Raw genomic sequence first — 14837 nt, forward strand, 5'->3', positions numbered from 1 at the left:
TGATGATAGCAAGAAATTCTGGTGATTTTTTTTCTTGAGTGAGATGTAATTTTTTTTCAAAAGTGTTCTTATCTTCTAGAGATAAGTAATAAGGTATTACAGATAAAATACAATTACAGATAAAATACAATTGAGGCCAAGGGTATGCATCAGAAGAATCTGGGTTGGGGGTGGAGCTAGCAGAGGGCCAGGGGAGAGACGGAGTTGAATTGGCTACAAGTTGATCGCACTTGAACTTGAGCAATGGGTACAGGCAGGTTCAAGACACCCTTCTCTCCACTTTTGCAAATTTTTATAATTGTCCATTTTGAAAAAAAGAAAAGTTAAAAGTAAATAAAACTTCACAAAACCAACCAAACCCCCGAAATTCACCCTGTAAACATCATTTTCGCATCAGACGTAAAAGGACAGAGCGTGTGTGTGTTTATTTACTGGGAGGACCGCCTTAAAGTATTAAATAACATTCAAAGGTCTTTAAAAATTAAAAAAAAGTTAATAAACCTTGTTGTTCAAGTGAACACTAGTATTACTGGACATTCGAGTACATGAAATCCAAAAGTCATCACTCACCTTTTTCAGAGCACAAGCCTTTATGACTTTTTCATATCGTTCCTTTTCGTATTTCTTCCCAAATAAAATATTACTCCTCAGAGTTCCCGAGAACACCCAGGGCTGCTGAGACACATAGGCAATTCTTCCATGCACGCTGACCAGCCCGTGACTTGGGGCCAATTCCCCGAGCACGGCACTTAACAGTGATGACTGAAACAGATTGTAAAAAAGCACATGTTCAGTCAACACTCGAGACAAGAATAAGCCACTGCAATGCAGCCTTGCCCAGCCCTGGGAGCTTGAAAAACACCATTCATTCATTTAAAAGAGCACAGGAAGTTGTGATTAAAAATTGGAAATAACATAATGGTCCACATAAACTAGTAGTTTATAAGGAATATTAACAAAATAGAGTGTAACAATCTACTCTGCCCTAATGAGTTTCCCTAAATGAGTTTCATGCCCCTAAATGAAATGGTACACGGAACAAAGATCAACTAAGAATGTTTACAGCAACAGAGTAGCCAAGCATGACATATATAGTTCATATATCCAATACTGAATGCATTGTTCCTGCATGCGGGTATCTTTTTTGACAAAGAACTAATCCTAGAAATGCTGTATGTAAATAACATATCCTGGCCAGGTGCAGTGGCTCACGCCTGTAATCCCAGCACTTTGGGAGGCCGAGGCGGGTGGATGACTTGAGGCCAGGAGTTCGAGACCAGCCTGGCCAACATGGTGAAACCCCATCTCTACTAAAACTACAAACATTAGCCGGGCATGGTGGCACGCCTGTAATCCCAGCTACTTGGGAGGCTGAGGCATGAGAATCACTTGAACCTAGGGAAATGGAGGTTGCAGTGACTCTAGATCACGCCACTGCACTCCAGCCTGGGTGACAGAGCGAGACCATGTCTCAAAAACTAAATATACATACATACGTGAATAAATGAATGAATAAATAAAAATAAATAATAAATCCTGTGCACTAGGAAGGACTTTTATTTTTAAATACCCAAGAATCGTGTCTCTGAAGAGCAAACTTCAATTGTTAAACCACCCTATTTGTTATACACCTACAACTAGATTTATTGCGTTGCTTTAGAATATATGAGACTAAGTCTGTACGCACGTTTCCTTCACATCTTCTACAATGCACAGACATGACGTGTCTGTGCCCCCCACTATCAGAGCACTTACGACACTGAACTGAAATCACCTGTTTGTATATCTGTCTCACCCCAGATACCAGAAACTTCTGGAGGGCAGTGGCGTCTGGGTCTTGATTACAGGTGTATCTTTTACTCCTAACACAGGACTATACACCTGGCTACAGGTTTATTAAATGTGTGTTCATGTGACTTGGAGAAGTCATATCAAAACATGTTTAAAGCTTTTCAGACAAGCCTTCATAACCTCCAGATGTCTTGTAGCATCTAGGGTCCCCTCTGACAAAAAGAAGTTCCCACTTTCTTAGTCAATCCATCCTGCATAGTGGTCACATAAATAATTTCTTTCATGGAGATGTCCAACTTCTAGGAGTTCCCAATTGCTCAACTTGAAGAACCAAGGGAAACATGATATGCATTGTCCACATTTATTTGGTCATGTGACCCTTCTTGCAAAACGAATGTTCCATGCACTGAGAAATGCCGTGCCAAGTGTACCCAGTTCAAAATTGTGTTACACGTAGCCTTGGGCTCAAACCCACGAAGTTAATATGATAAGTGGGGTTGCAACAAGCTGCCAAAAGCCATTCTAACTCACCTTCCCTGCTCCCACGGGGCCGACCACAGCTAACAATTCGCCAGGTCTGACAGTAAAGGAAAGGCCTTGTAGAGTTGGGGTCTCTGATGCCTACAAATTAAAGTTTATAAAATGTGCCCATTTCAATAAAGTCACACAAATCACTTCAAAAAGAGAAGAAAACAATACAACAGTCATTGATACATGAACATAACCCAAATCTTTCTCCTTCCTATTTTAAGATATTGTATCCTAGAGTCCTTTTCATACAATCATATTTTTTTGGTGGGGTTTTACACAGTTTGGAGTCTTCAGTACTTAAGGAAGGCCCATTCCCTTTTACCAGATTTTCATGTGAACACAGCTCCAGACTTCCACAAAATTTAGATAGTAAAAATGACAAGACAAGCTTCTTGAAATGAAAACTCATGCTAACTTACTAAAACAATATATATATATTTTTTACTTTAAGTTCTAGGATACATGCGCAGAACGTGCAGGTTTGTTACATAGGTATACATGTGCCATGGTGGTTTGCTGCACCTGTCAACCTGTCATCTAGGTTTTAAGCCCTGCATGCATTATGTATTTGTCCTAATGCTCTCCCTCCCCTTGCCCCCCACCCACCGACAAGCCCCGTATGTGTAATGTTCCCCTCCCTGTGTCCATGTGTTCTCATTTAAAACAATATTCTTTTTTTTTTTTTTTTTTTTTTTTTTTGAGACGGAGTCTCGTTCTGTCGCCCAGGCGGGAGTGCTGTGGCGCGATCTCCGCTCACTGCAAGCTCCGCCTTCCGGGTTCACGCCATTCTCCTGCCTCAGCCTCCCGAGTAGCTGGGACTACAGGCGCCTGCCACTGCGCCCAGCTAATTTTTTGTATTTTTAGTAGAGACGGGGTTTCACCGTGGTCTCGATCTCCTGACCTCGTGATCCGCCCGCCTCGGCCTCCCAAAGTGCTGGGATTACAGGCGTGAGCCACCGCGCCCGGCAATATTCTTAATATAATATTCAGTATGGGAGCTTTTCAACCATTTGTAAATTTTCATTCTGTCCCTTGGTTTTAATATTCTATTTCATTAACCTCCACAAGGTGGCAGCATGAGTACATGGCATGCCCAGTCCTTGGCTAATGGATGACTTGAAATCTCCACTAATCTTTCCATTTTCACTTGATAAAGCATGAACCTCAGTTATGCCCAGCCAGCCAGAAGGCACTTTATACTATAAAGTCACTCTTGGCAAATGAACTTCTACAAATGGTGGTCAACCCTGTAACCAAGAGCTCTAATTTAACAATAACCAAAAACTGAAGAATAATGAAATTAAGTGTATGTTCATAGGTCAAAGTGAAAGTCTCAGTGTTACACCTGCAGCTTGTGTTACCCATCCTGGGAAAATAGGGACAGCATAGTAGTTCTACTATAAACACTGAGGTACCCACCACAGCATTCAATCCAGCACAAAGGGAGGAAGGGATGAAGTACTCATTAGGGTATCAGAAATAATGTTCCTAAACAATCTATAAATTCTATGATAAAAAGATTCAGGAGTATATGCATGTTTTTACATATACTAAATGTTAACAAAATTATCAATCACTGCTAATGTTAAAAAAAAAAAAGTTGTTTTAGGCAGGGTACGGACTGGTTCATGCCTGTAATCCCAACATTTTGGGAGATGGAGGTGGGAGGATCACTTGAGCCTAGGAGTTCAAGACAAGCTGGGGCAACATAGTGAGAAACCATCTCTTAAAGAAAAAAAAATCAGCCAGGCATGGTGTGTGCCATAGTCCCAGCTACTCAGGAGGATGAGGCAGGAGGATCCCTTGAGCACCGGAGGCTGAGGTTGCAGTGAGCCAAGATTGCACCACTGCACTCTAACCCGGGTGACACAGTAAGACCTTGTCTCAAAAAAATGTTATTTTGCAGTTTATTATTTAGGAGACCAAATCAAATTCATTACTTTTACAAAGAGCTTCTAAATATTTTCAATTGAGAGGATTAAGTGTGTATCAGGGAGAAGGGATAGTTTACCAGAGCATGATAGGGATAGTTTACCAGAGCATGATAAACCAAAATGAGGAGGTTTCCTCTTCTCATACAAGGACAATCAGTACTTTGAATTATCTATCTTTTAAAAAAGCAAAAGTCAGTTGGTACAAATAAAGAGAGGAATGGTTTTAAATTCAGAGTATAGAACCTCAACCGTAAAAACTGCCAACTCTAAGAACTTTTGTCCAAACCCAGACATCAACACTAGTAGACAAAAATTGATACTGTTAAGTAAAGTAAAAACAGCTACAATTTGGGAGGAATCCTAAAGGGGTTTAAGCAGCACATTTATAATCTTCGTCTGAATTTCTCGTGGATAGATTGGAGAGACTTGACCATGCATGTCTGGTGGGTAGGCATTTAGCAAATTTATTCAAGTCCCAAATCCTTTCGGAAGTGGCTATTCTTCTGCACGACACACTTTGGTAAATGCTCATCCATATCATAGAAAAATGATCAAGAATGAATCAAAGGCAATGCAGCCTCCTCAACTCTAGAAAAGGATTCTTCAAAATGAATCTGGCGTCCCTGAAGGGTGGAACACCCCTGGGATGATGGAAGAGGGAAGCACGCATGGAGTCAACCAACCCAAAACCTAAAGACACTGAGCTGGCGCAGCCCACAGTTACTCATCAACCCCTCTCCACATCTCAAGCGGGCATGTGCAATTAGTAAAATGCCCAAAAGACAGAAAGCACGGTGGGGGAATAAGAGATCAAGATAACCTTCAAAATGAAAAATTTACCTGGAAACGACTTAATGGTCACATATCCGAATAATCACAAATATTTCTATAAATGGTCAAATGCTAAAATATGTGTGTATGAAAACTGACCCCTTATGTGTCCCATACCACATCATAGGATGGCCGCAGACCAAAACGATCATGATCCCTTTTAAGCACAAAGAAATTAGCCCCAGATTTCATAGGAATTATATAACAACCACCCAGAATAGGTTTCTTTACTCCTTCATACATGCCTAACAACTATTTCTTTTTTAAAAAAGTAATACATTACCTAAACACTTGGAAAAATAACGTTAAACAAAATGTGACATATTTACACGATTTTAAGTGCAAACTTGTCACAAATTCACAAAGTCTTGCTTGACTTCGCCTTACTATATAAGGTGTTCCTCCTCTAAAATGTAACGGGTCTACTCTGTATTCCTGATTAAGTAACATCTGTCTCTTAAGACAACTGAAACCTACTTATTTCTGTGATTACAAAAGGATGAAAAAACACAACCGGTCAACCTGTCCCTTTCCCCTCCTTTGCAGTGTGTCTCTTTCCTAACAACTACTTCTGATTTTACTTCTTTTTATTCAGTTTTGGCTGCAAAAGAGTGAGCCACATGCAAAACCCAGCTTCCCATCAAGGCCCTGGTTCTTAGAGCAGGTTTCTGCCCCGCCGGGAGGCCTGGGACCCAGCACTGGTGGGCTGCAGCCAGAAGGGGGCAGCACTCGACAGCTCAGAAGGCTAGGCCCATTCCCTCTGGGACCTCCCCAGGCTCCAAGACACACTAAGGCAGGCAGACTGAGCCCCCACTCTGTGGGCCCTGGGGCCAGAGCAGTGAAGAAAGCAGAAGCAAATCCCTTCCCCATGGAGAGTCACAGGCTCTCACGGGGCCACAGACTTTACAGCTTCAGCCCAAGCCCCTGTTTTATAAATGAGACCTAGGCTGGTGAGAAGACCTTCCCTCCAATACCTGCTGGTCTATCCAGCAGGACTGCTGCTGGGGTCTCTGTCTTTCTCCGAAATCCCAGCCCAGCACACCCTTCTTTCCTCTGCAGCTTCTCTCCAGAAGCCCGTGTCTGTGCCCCTCCTCCCACCCCAGCACCCTCTCAGCCGCAGGACCTCCCTAATAATCCCTGCCAGTGTGAGGCAAAATCACCCCAAGACAAGGCCAGAAAACAGGATGGAGTGTTCTGTTTACAATGCAGCTGTCAATGTTATCTAGGAACCGAAAAACAACAAAACAGACCATTTTACAATATCGCAGGGTTTGGTACAAAAGAAATTTGCAAATGGGACCTACACAGTGTGTGGTAGCTACCTCAGTGCCTTCCTCTAGCTCAACAGCATTCACCTAGAGTGCTTTTTTCTAGTGGGATGTTCACAGAGCTGTCTGTCAATGCTTGAAGTGTATTAGAGCTGGGCACGGTGGCTCATGCCTGCAATCCCAGCACTTTGGGAGGCCAAGGCGGGCAGATCACTTGAGGCCAGAAATTCAAGACCAGCCTGGCCAACATGGGAGAAACCCTGTCTCTACTAAAAATACAAAAATTAGCCAGGCATGGTGGGGCGTGCCTGTAATCCTAGCTACTCACGAGGTTGAGGCAGGAGAATCACTTGACCCTGGGAGACAGAGGTTACAGTGAGCCGAAATCACAGCACTGCACTCCAGCCTAGGCAAAAGAGCAAGACTCTGTCTCCAAAACAAATAAATAAATAAATAAAGTGTATGAGGGTGGGAATGCCAGCAGATAAAGAGAAACTGTCACCTTGTGTGAGTTTCCATGTGCACAAGATGCGATGATGTTCTAAATATCTGGGAACACATTATTGTTTTGTTGGTAGAGATGGCAGAAATTACATCAGAATTAGGCAAACATGAAACAGGGAGTGCAATACTTAGAGCCAAGGGCATGTAGAGAAAGGAAGAGTCTGGAGTCTAGAGAGTTTTGACATTTGTCCCACAGGGGAGGACGGAGGCAGTGGGGCTGGGCAGGAGTGCTGCTCAACCGCCTATTGGCTCTTGGCTCCAGCAAACTACGCTACAACGCAAGGTCAGCCACAAAGAGCACCCGGAGAGGGGAGGAGCTGGTCACCACCAGCACTGCCCACCTGTTTTAAGCAGCCTGAGCTGTTCCAGTACCCTCAGAAGAGACCCTCGCCCTCTGCTCCCAAATCTTGCTGGCAGCTGGGCCACTGGGCTCTGCTCCTGGCAGACATCATCTCCAGCCCCGGGGTGCAGCTTCCTGCCGTGGCTGATCTCGGGGTGGCCTCCTCCACCCCTGCTTTCCCTTTGTGCTCTTTCTTTCATCACCTATGAAACGAATTCCCTGCACAAAATTCCCTCTCCCATGCTGTGTGTTCTGTTTTCCAGACTAACACAGACTGAGACAAGTGCATTTGCAGAGGACCCCGGACTCAGGTGAGCGTAACCGCAGAACCAGCCCAATCTGGTTCAACTTTGTGTAATAACATAGTAAACAGTTTTTCAGTCACCATGGATCCCAGGTTGCAAGTTACGTAATCTGAGCATTCCCAGATGAACCAAGCAGGCAACCATGGGCAGAACCCAAGTGCTAGGACCAAGGAAGGAGGAACGAGTTCAGAGGCGAACGCCTCATGGCATGATCCAGGATCCGATCAGGTCCAGCTCTGGCATCATGCAAGACCCAATCGGACCATGCCTCATTACCCTCTGCCTATAAAACCTGCCCCATCCCCCAGCTAGGGAAGACAAATTTGAGCGTTGCCTCCTGTCTCCTTGCCATTCCACTCACAATACAGCCTTTCTCTTCATGAAAAGCTGGTGCCATAGTAGTGGCGTCTATGAGCACTGGGCAGGGAGCCCACTGCTTCCTTGGAAGCATGAGGAGGGCACTGGAGTTGTGGATAACAGGAGATGCACCGAGCCTCAGTACTTCTTGTGGGTGGCCCCTGCTGTTGGTCCCATTTGCCTAAATGTTATGAGTAAACCAAGTGTTGAAAAATCCTTGTGGCCTTGCCAGAACTACCTGTCCACTTACCACACGGTGAAACCCTTCAGTCAGGAATCCATGGAGCTTGCTACGCCGGCCTGCAGCCTCCCCTCGGCCTTGGGCTGCCACCAAAGCAGCTGGCAACATCCAGATGCTTGGAATAGGGGAGCCCCACCCCAACCCCGTGGCAAAAATCCAAGTCATGGGCTTTCTCAATATGTAATAAGATGACCTGAAAACGCTAAGCTGAAAATGTGCACTGATACCCCAAAGTCTCCGTAATAATCTACAATGTACTCAGCAGTTAACCCATTCCATGCTGCACCCCTAGTCTGTCCAATCCTATAAAATCCAGCGTTGCCAATGTCCAAACTTAGTGACATTTAGTTTAGAACGAGGTAACACTTTCCTTGGTTTTTTGAAAATGAGATAAAATACAACTTGTCAAATACCTAAGTCTGATTTCATACCTACTTTCTATTAATTGCAAAACTTACTCCTAATTTTGAGAATCTTTGTAACATAGTTTCAGTAAATAAGCAAGCCATATTTTATACCATGTGTAACACCTCAAAATTCTCTATTAAATCAATGTCACTCATTATCTTCAGCAGTCATGATCTTGCATTAAGGATATGTTACCTTATCCCAAAAAGCAGTAAAATCCTGCACATGCACCATCTTTTTACCATCTGACGGCAGCTGACGGTTGCGCTGTGATATCTCATCAAGTAGCAAAAAGGTCTAAAGAAAATGGGAAAAACACAGATTGTTTAAATTACAGAAACAAAAGCACAAACAAAAGTCACTGCTTCCATGGAATTTGTAACATAAAACTTTATACAGCCTACAGATCATTTTACCAACCCTATTTAAAGTATCGGTTCACATCAGCATATGATATTTATTTAATAAATAAACATGTAAAGAGTTCATGGCCATGAACTATCTTTGTAATTTTAGGAACTATCTGTGTAATTTTTTTCAACAAGTATACTTGTTCCTAAATAAACCGAAAATACTGCTCTGAGACTGAGTGCATTGACAGCCTGCATAGTTCTACTGTTGTACTTTTGTGTTACTAATGGTGAACACGGGAGTTGGTTGGAAATGATCTGATGAATATTTCATGAATCCTCATCATGTGCCAAGCCCCGCGCTAGATGCTGGCAACATGAAAGTCAAGGCCATTCCCAGCCTTCAGGAAGCAAGTGAGCCCAGAAGGGTAGGCAGGAAACACAGGGCAGAGCCTCTGAAGGCAGCCCTGGCTCTGGCCAGTCACTTAGATTCAACTGGCCTTCTCCTCCCTCGTGCACGTCAAATTGACATACAACTTAATTCACTATCACTTAAGTCAGTGTTCTTTACCAAAATAAGAAAAAAGGTTTCTATCTCTTAAAACATATTTTATAAGCTTCTTTTCACAATCACCTATTATTATTGTTATTATTATTATTTTGAGACAGAGTCTCACTCTGTCACCCAGGCTGGAAAGCATGGCACGATCTCGGTTCGCTGCAGCCTCCGCCTCTCCGGTTCAAGTGATTCTCCAGCCTCAGCCTCCCAAGTAGCTGGGATTACAGGTGTCTGCCACCATGCCTGGCTAATTTTTGTATTTACACTGGAGACAGGGTTTCACCATGTTAGCCAGGCTGGTCTCGAACTGCTGGCCTCAAGCAATCTACCCACCTCGGCCTCCCAAAATGCTGGGTTTACAGGCATAAGCCACCATGCTACACCTACACTTATCTTTTTTCCTTAGTCAATGTCCCCTCCTAGACAGCAGAACGGACCAATCTCTCGCTTATTGCTATTTTCCACACTAGTTAGCAACTACACAATGCAATTTAACTGAATAAAACAAAGTCCTGTTAACCATAACAAACCTAACATAATGATATATGGGAAAACTCCCTTTTGCTCCTCAAATGGTAGGCATAATTCAGTGAGAGAAGCTACAGTGGCTTAGAAACAGAATAAACAACCTAGATCACCCCCACCCCATCCAAAATTTTGTAGATGTGGCAAAAACTGTCAGCTCTCCTCAAAACCTGCTCTAATTTTCTGTGCATTTTTAGCCAACGCACAGCAGCCTTGAACAAGGACCACTCTCTCCAGCCCCCAACACAGTTAGATGTAGCCACATGACTTTAAGTTCAGCCCAACAGAAAGTGACAACGTCCAGGAAACTTCCTATACAGTCTCCAGGCCTTGGAAGCTGCCTGGACAACTTCCCCTCCAAAATCCAGGTGGTGAAACTTAATGGCCAATGTGATGGTATTGAGAGGTATTTAGGCCATGAGGGCTCCTCCCTCATTGCACTCCAGCCTGGGCAATAGTGCAAGACCCTGTCAAAAAAAATAAAAGGAAAGGAGGAAAGGAGGAAAGGAGGAAGGAAGGAAGGAAGGAAGGAAGGAAGGAAGGAAGGAAGGAAGGAAGGAAGGAAGGAAGGAAGGAAGGAAGGAAGGAAGGAAGGAAGGAAGGAAGGAAGGAAGGAAGGAAGGAAGGAAGGAAGGAAGGAAGGAAGGAAGGAAGGAAGAAGGGAGGGAGGGAAGGAAGGAAAGAAAGAAAAAAGACCAGACCCAATTTCACAAGTTTACTGACCGGCAATCATTTGTGATACTGATACAATGTTTTCACTGGTCCCTTCTCCAGCATCCCCCATCACAACCAAACCGTTCCCAAACACCACTCCCTAAGGATCTTCTGAAAACACCTCTGATAATAACCACCATGCTTCAAACTCTTCCATGACCCAGCAGCACTGACAGTCACACTCCCAAAGTAGCCTTTGCCTTGATTCCCTGAGTATTAATCCCACCCTGTCTTTGAGGGCCCACCTCAAAGACTAATCCTGCTGGGAACCAGCTCAGGGTGGCTGCAGCTGGGACCGAAACTGAGTTATGTACAGGGCAGAGATGTGTCCCCCATCCTGCACTTACAAACACACTCACCTGCATGAACACTGCACTGCACACGGGGTCAGCTCTTCACAGATACATGCTACAGTCATAAACAGACTGTATGATCGGCTTAAATTATTCAAACAATCAGCTATGTCAGTTAGCACAGCAACAAGCAAAAGGTTATATATACATCTTCTTAACCTTGTCTAGACAGAATAAAATTCTGATTTTAGCTGAAGTGTACGACCAAGACATCAAATTCAGTATTCTGTATGTGCAGGTCAGAACAGAAGTTCCCCACCTTCAAAATAAAAAACTATGCACACAGTAAACCTATTGAGCACTGGTCAATAAACAACAGATCTGAGTGGAGACAGACATGATAATAGTTTAGTGGTTAAATGAGACTCCACTCAACACATGAACGGCTTGTAAAGATGCTGGAGGGGCTAGCTGGACTTTCTCTAGTCACTCAGGAGGGTGAAAAAGCTGAAATGACATTGCCAATACAGCAATGAGGTGCATCCCCAGAAAGTTCACTTGGGGAAGTATCAGACGGCAGAACTGAAGTCAAAGAGATTGACTTCAGAGTGGACGGTTGGCAAAAACTGAAGCAGCTTTGTGAACAATAAAACCTCAGAGACACATTTTACTGGATGTGGAAGTCATTGAAGACTTTCAGTGCTTTGCTGTTAAGATAAGATCTCTTAAAATCCTATTGGACTTGCTTAATGCCAAGACCATCAATCCTTTCCTTAATAAAAGAAAAACAGACGGAACTTCTTAGACCTAAAAACTTCGCAATAAAACCTTCATTTTCTGTACATGGAAAAAAGGAAATTGAAAAGTATGAGTAAGAAAGACAATAGATTAAAGACTTAAATATAAAACCTCAAACCATAAAAACCCTAGAAGAAAGCCTAGGTAATACCATTCAGGACATAGGCATGGCAAAGACTTCACGACTAAAACACCAAAAACAATGGCAACAAAAGCCAAAATTGACAAATGGGATCTAATTAAACTAAAGAGCTTCTCCACAGCAAAAGAAACTCTCATCAGAGTGAACAGGCAACCTACAGAATGGAAGAAAATTTTTGCAATCTATCCATGTGACAGAGGGCTAACATCCAGAATCTACAAGGAACTTAAACAAATTTACAAGAAAAAAAACAACCCCATCAAAAAGTGAGCGAAGGATATGAACAGACACTTCTCAAAAGAAGACATGTATGCAGCCAACAAACATATGAAAAAAAGCTCATTATCACTGGTCATTAAAGAAATGCAAATCAAAACCACAATGAGATACCATCTCACACCAGTTAGAATGGTGATCATTAAAAAGTCAGGAAACAACAGATGCTGGAGAGGATGTGGAGAAATAGGAACACTTTTACATTGTTGGTGGGAGTGTAAATTAGTTCAACCACTGTGAAAGACAACGTGGCAATTCCTCAAGGAACTAGAACCAGAAATACCATTGGACCCAGCAATCCCATTACTGGGTATATACCCAAAGGATTATAAATCATTCGACTATAAAGACACATGCACACGTATGTTTACTGCAGCACTATTTACAACAGCAAAGACTTGGAACCAACCCAAATGCCCATCAATGACAGACTGGATAAAGAAAATGTGTCATATATACACTGTGGAATACTATGCAGCCATAAAAAAGGATGAGTTCATGTCCTTTACAGGGACATGGATGAAGCTGGAAACCATCATTCTCAGCAAACTAACACAGGAACAGAAAACCAAACCCTGCATGTTCTCACTCATAAGTGAGAGTTGAACAATGAGAACACATGGACACAGGAAGGGGAACATCACACACCAGGGCCTGTCAGAGGGTGAGGGGCAAGGGGAAGGAGAGCATTAGGACAAATACTGAATGCATGTGGGGCTTAAAACCTAGATGATGGGTTGATGGGTGCAGCAAACCACCATGGCACATGTATACCTATGTAACAAACCTTCATGTTCTGCACATGTGTCCCAGAAAAAGTATAATAAAAAAATTAAAATAGAAATATAAAAATATTTTTTAAAAATTTAACAACACAATGTTTTCTAAACTCTATGTGTCTGCCAAGCTCTGGTCTATCTATGGTCAAGACTCACTTAGTTCCGATCAGTATATTGGGCAGAACTATTCCTCCTCTCCTGATGCCATTTTTCACCTTCTCATTGTTCATTAACACATCCACGAGAGGCAAGGAAGAAAGTGAACATTGGATCAATTCATTACACTCATCATTTACAACCTCCATTTTTAGAGAAATAGGAAAGGAGGCGGAACCAGGCAGACCCCATCAGTGGGTCTTGTAGCAAACATCTGCACAGTTCTAAAGCATCCCAGTCTTCAAAGCCAAATTCATCCCCAAATCTGGTCTTCTAGTATTCCATATTTCAGTGAACCCAGGTGATTTTGCAGCCATAAGGACGAAAGTAGCCCTGATCCCTCCTTCTGACTAATCCCTCCTCTTGCCCCACACCCAAATCAGGACATGCTCTCAATGGCTTTCAAATCTATCCAAGGCTGTCTACTTGGTCTGAGTCCAAATCCCATCATCATCTTCCGGGACTGCTTGCTGCATCAGCCTCCTGACGTATCTCCCTGCCTCTACTCTGGGCCCCCAATGCATTCCCCAGGCTGCAGCCAGGGTGAATTGAAAATATGTGGATTTTCTTGAACATTAAGAGCTTTCTCACATAATTACCCCCAGGGAAATGCAGGGCATCAGCCTCCTGGCTGCCCCAAGCCACCTCCCTTCCCAAACCCTTCCCCATCTCTCTCCACTACCACGCACACAATGCTGCAGGCTATTTCTTGAGCCTTCGCAGGAAGCACTACACCTCCACAATGGCATGGGCATCTCTACCAAAGCACCTCATGGCATCTCAGATATTGCCTTCCAAAGACAATGACACATGAGCACTGATTTTAATTACGTGGTTATTTATTAACCCCCACTTGATGATTCCCAGGAGGAAGTTCCCAGCAGGAAGGACTTCTGTGCATTGGCTTACCATTGTATCTAAGCATTTATCACAGTGCCAGCTTAAGCTAGGTGCTCAATTACATTGTAGAGTCAATGACTAAGTGAATGAATAAATTCCAAACTTAACCCCCAAAAGCCTAGCATAGACCAAAACAGGTGTCTGCGTGCTTCCTCTCAAATGATTTTAGTCTTAAGTTATCCTGACGTCGTTTCTATTTGCTACACATATTTTGACCTCATGCGTTTTTTTATCACACAACTAGGGCAAGGTTTCCCAAAGACAGCATATTTTCAGGGACACGAGGACACTTTCTAAAGATATTGATTGGGCTGAGCGCAATGGCTCACGCTGTAATCCCAACACTTTGGGAGGCCGACGCGGGTGGATCACGAGGTCAAGAGACTGAGACTATCCTGGCCAACGTGGTGAAACCCAGTCTCTACTAAAAATACAAAAGTTAGCCGGGTGTGGTGGTGCATGCCTGTAGTCCCAGCTACTCCAAAGGCTGAGGCAGGAGAATCACTTGAACCTGGGAGGCAGAGGTTGCAGTGAGCTGAGATCACGCCACTGCACTCCAGCTTGGTGACAGAGCGAGACGCCGTCTCAAAACAAAACAAAACAAAACAAAAGATATTGGGACCCAGCCAATGCCTGATGAAGCAGAATCTCCAAGGTGTAATAATTTAGTTTTAATCAGTGCATCAGGTAATTCTGATGAACTTGGGGACAAAATTTTAAATGGGTTACAGGAACCATCCAGGTTGAAAAAACACAAAGTTCTAAAGGAAGAAAAAACAAACAAATAAACAAAACAAAACAAAACCTCCAACAATGACTTCAACACCACCATGAA

The 14837-nt window shown here is 43.3% G+C and overlaps 1 protein-coding gene across 7 annotated transcripts in view, besides 1 other annotated feature; it reads right to left on the reverse strand.

Moving 5' to 3' along the window:
• ABCC4 (ATP binding cassette subfamily C member 4 (PEL blood group)) overlaps positions 1-14837 on the reverse strand; it is a 281617-nt gene that overhangs the window by 166296 nt on the left and 100484 nt on the right. For all 7 annotated transcript variants that reach the window (NM_001301829.2, NM_005845.5, XM_047430034.1 and 4 more), the window contains 3 exons: positions 8706-8807; positions 2323-2412; positions 571-762 (listed from right to left, as the gene is read on the reverse strand). In NM_001301829.2, the coding sequence (NP_001288758.1) occupies positions 571-762; positions 2323-2412; positions 8706-8807 (384 nt within the window). The remainder of the gene's footprint in view (positions 1-570; positions 763-2322; positions 2413-8705; positions 8808-14837) is intronic.
• Positions 7303-7803: an enhancer, noted in NCBI's record as "H3K4me1 hESC enhancer chr13:95845687-95846187 (GRCh37/hg19 assembly coordinates)". NCBI's record gives its function as "activates a minimal SCP1, AML or CMV promoter by ChIP-STARR-seq in primed H9 embryonic stem cells {active_cell/tissue: H9 hESC(primed)}" and the evidence as "EXISTENCE:reporter gene assay evidence [ECO:0000049][PMID:30033119]".

The sequence above is a fragment of the Homo sapiens genome, chromosome 13 (assembly GCF_000001405.40).
Source record: "Homo sapiens chromosome 13, GRCh38.p14 Primary Assembly".
Taxonomy (NCBI): Eukaryota; Metazoa; Chordata; class Mammalia; order Primates; family Hominidae; genus Homo; species Homo sapiens.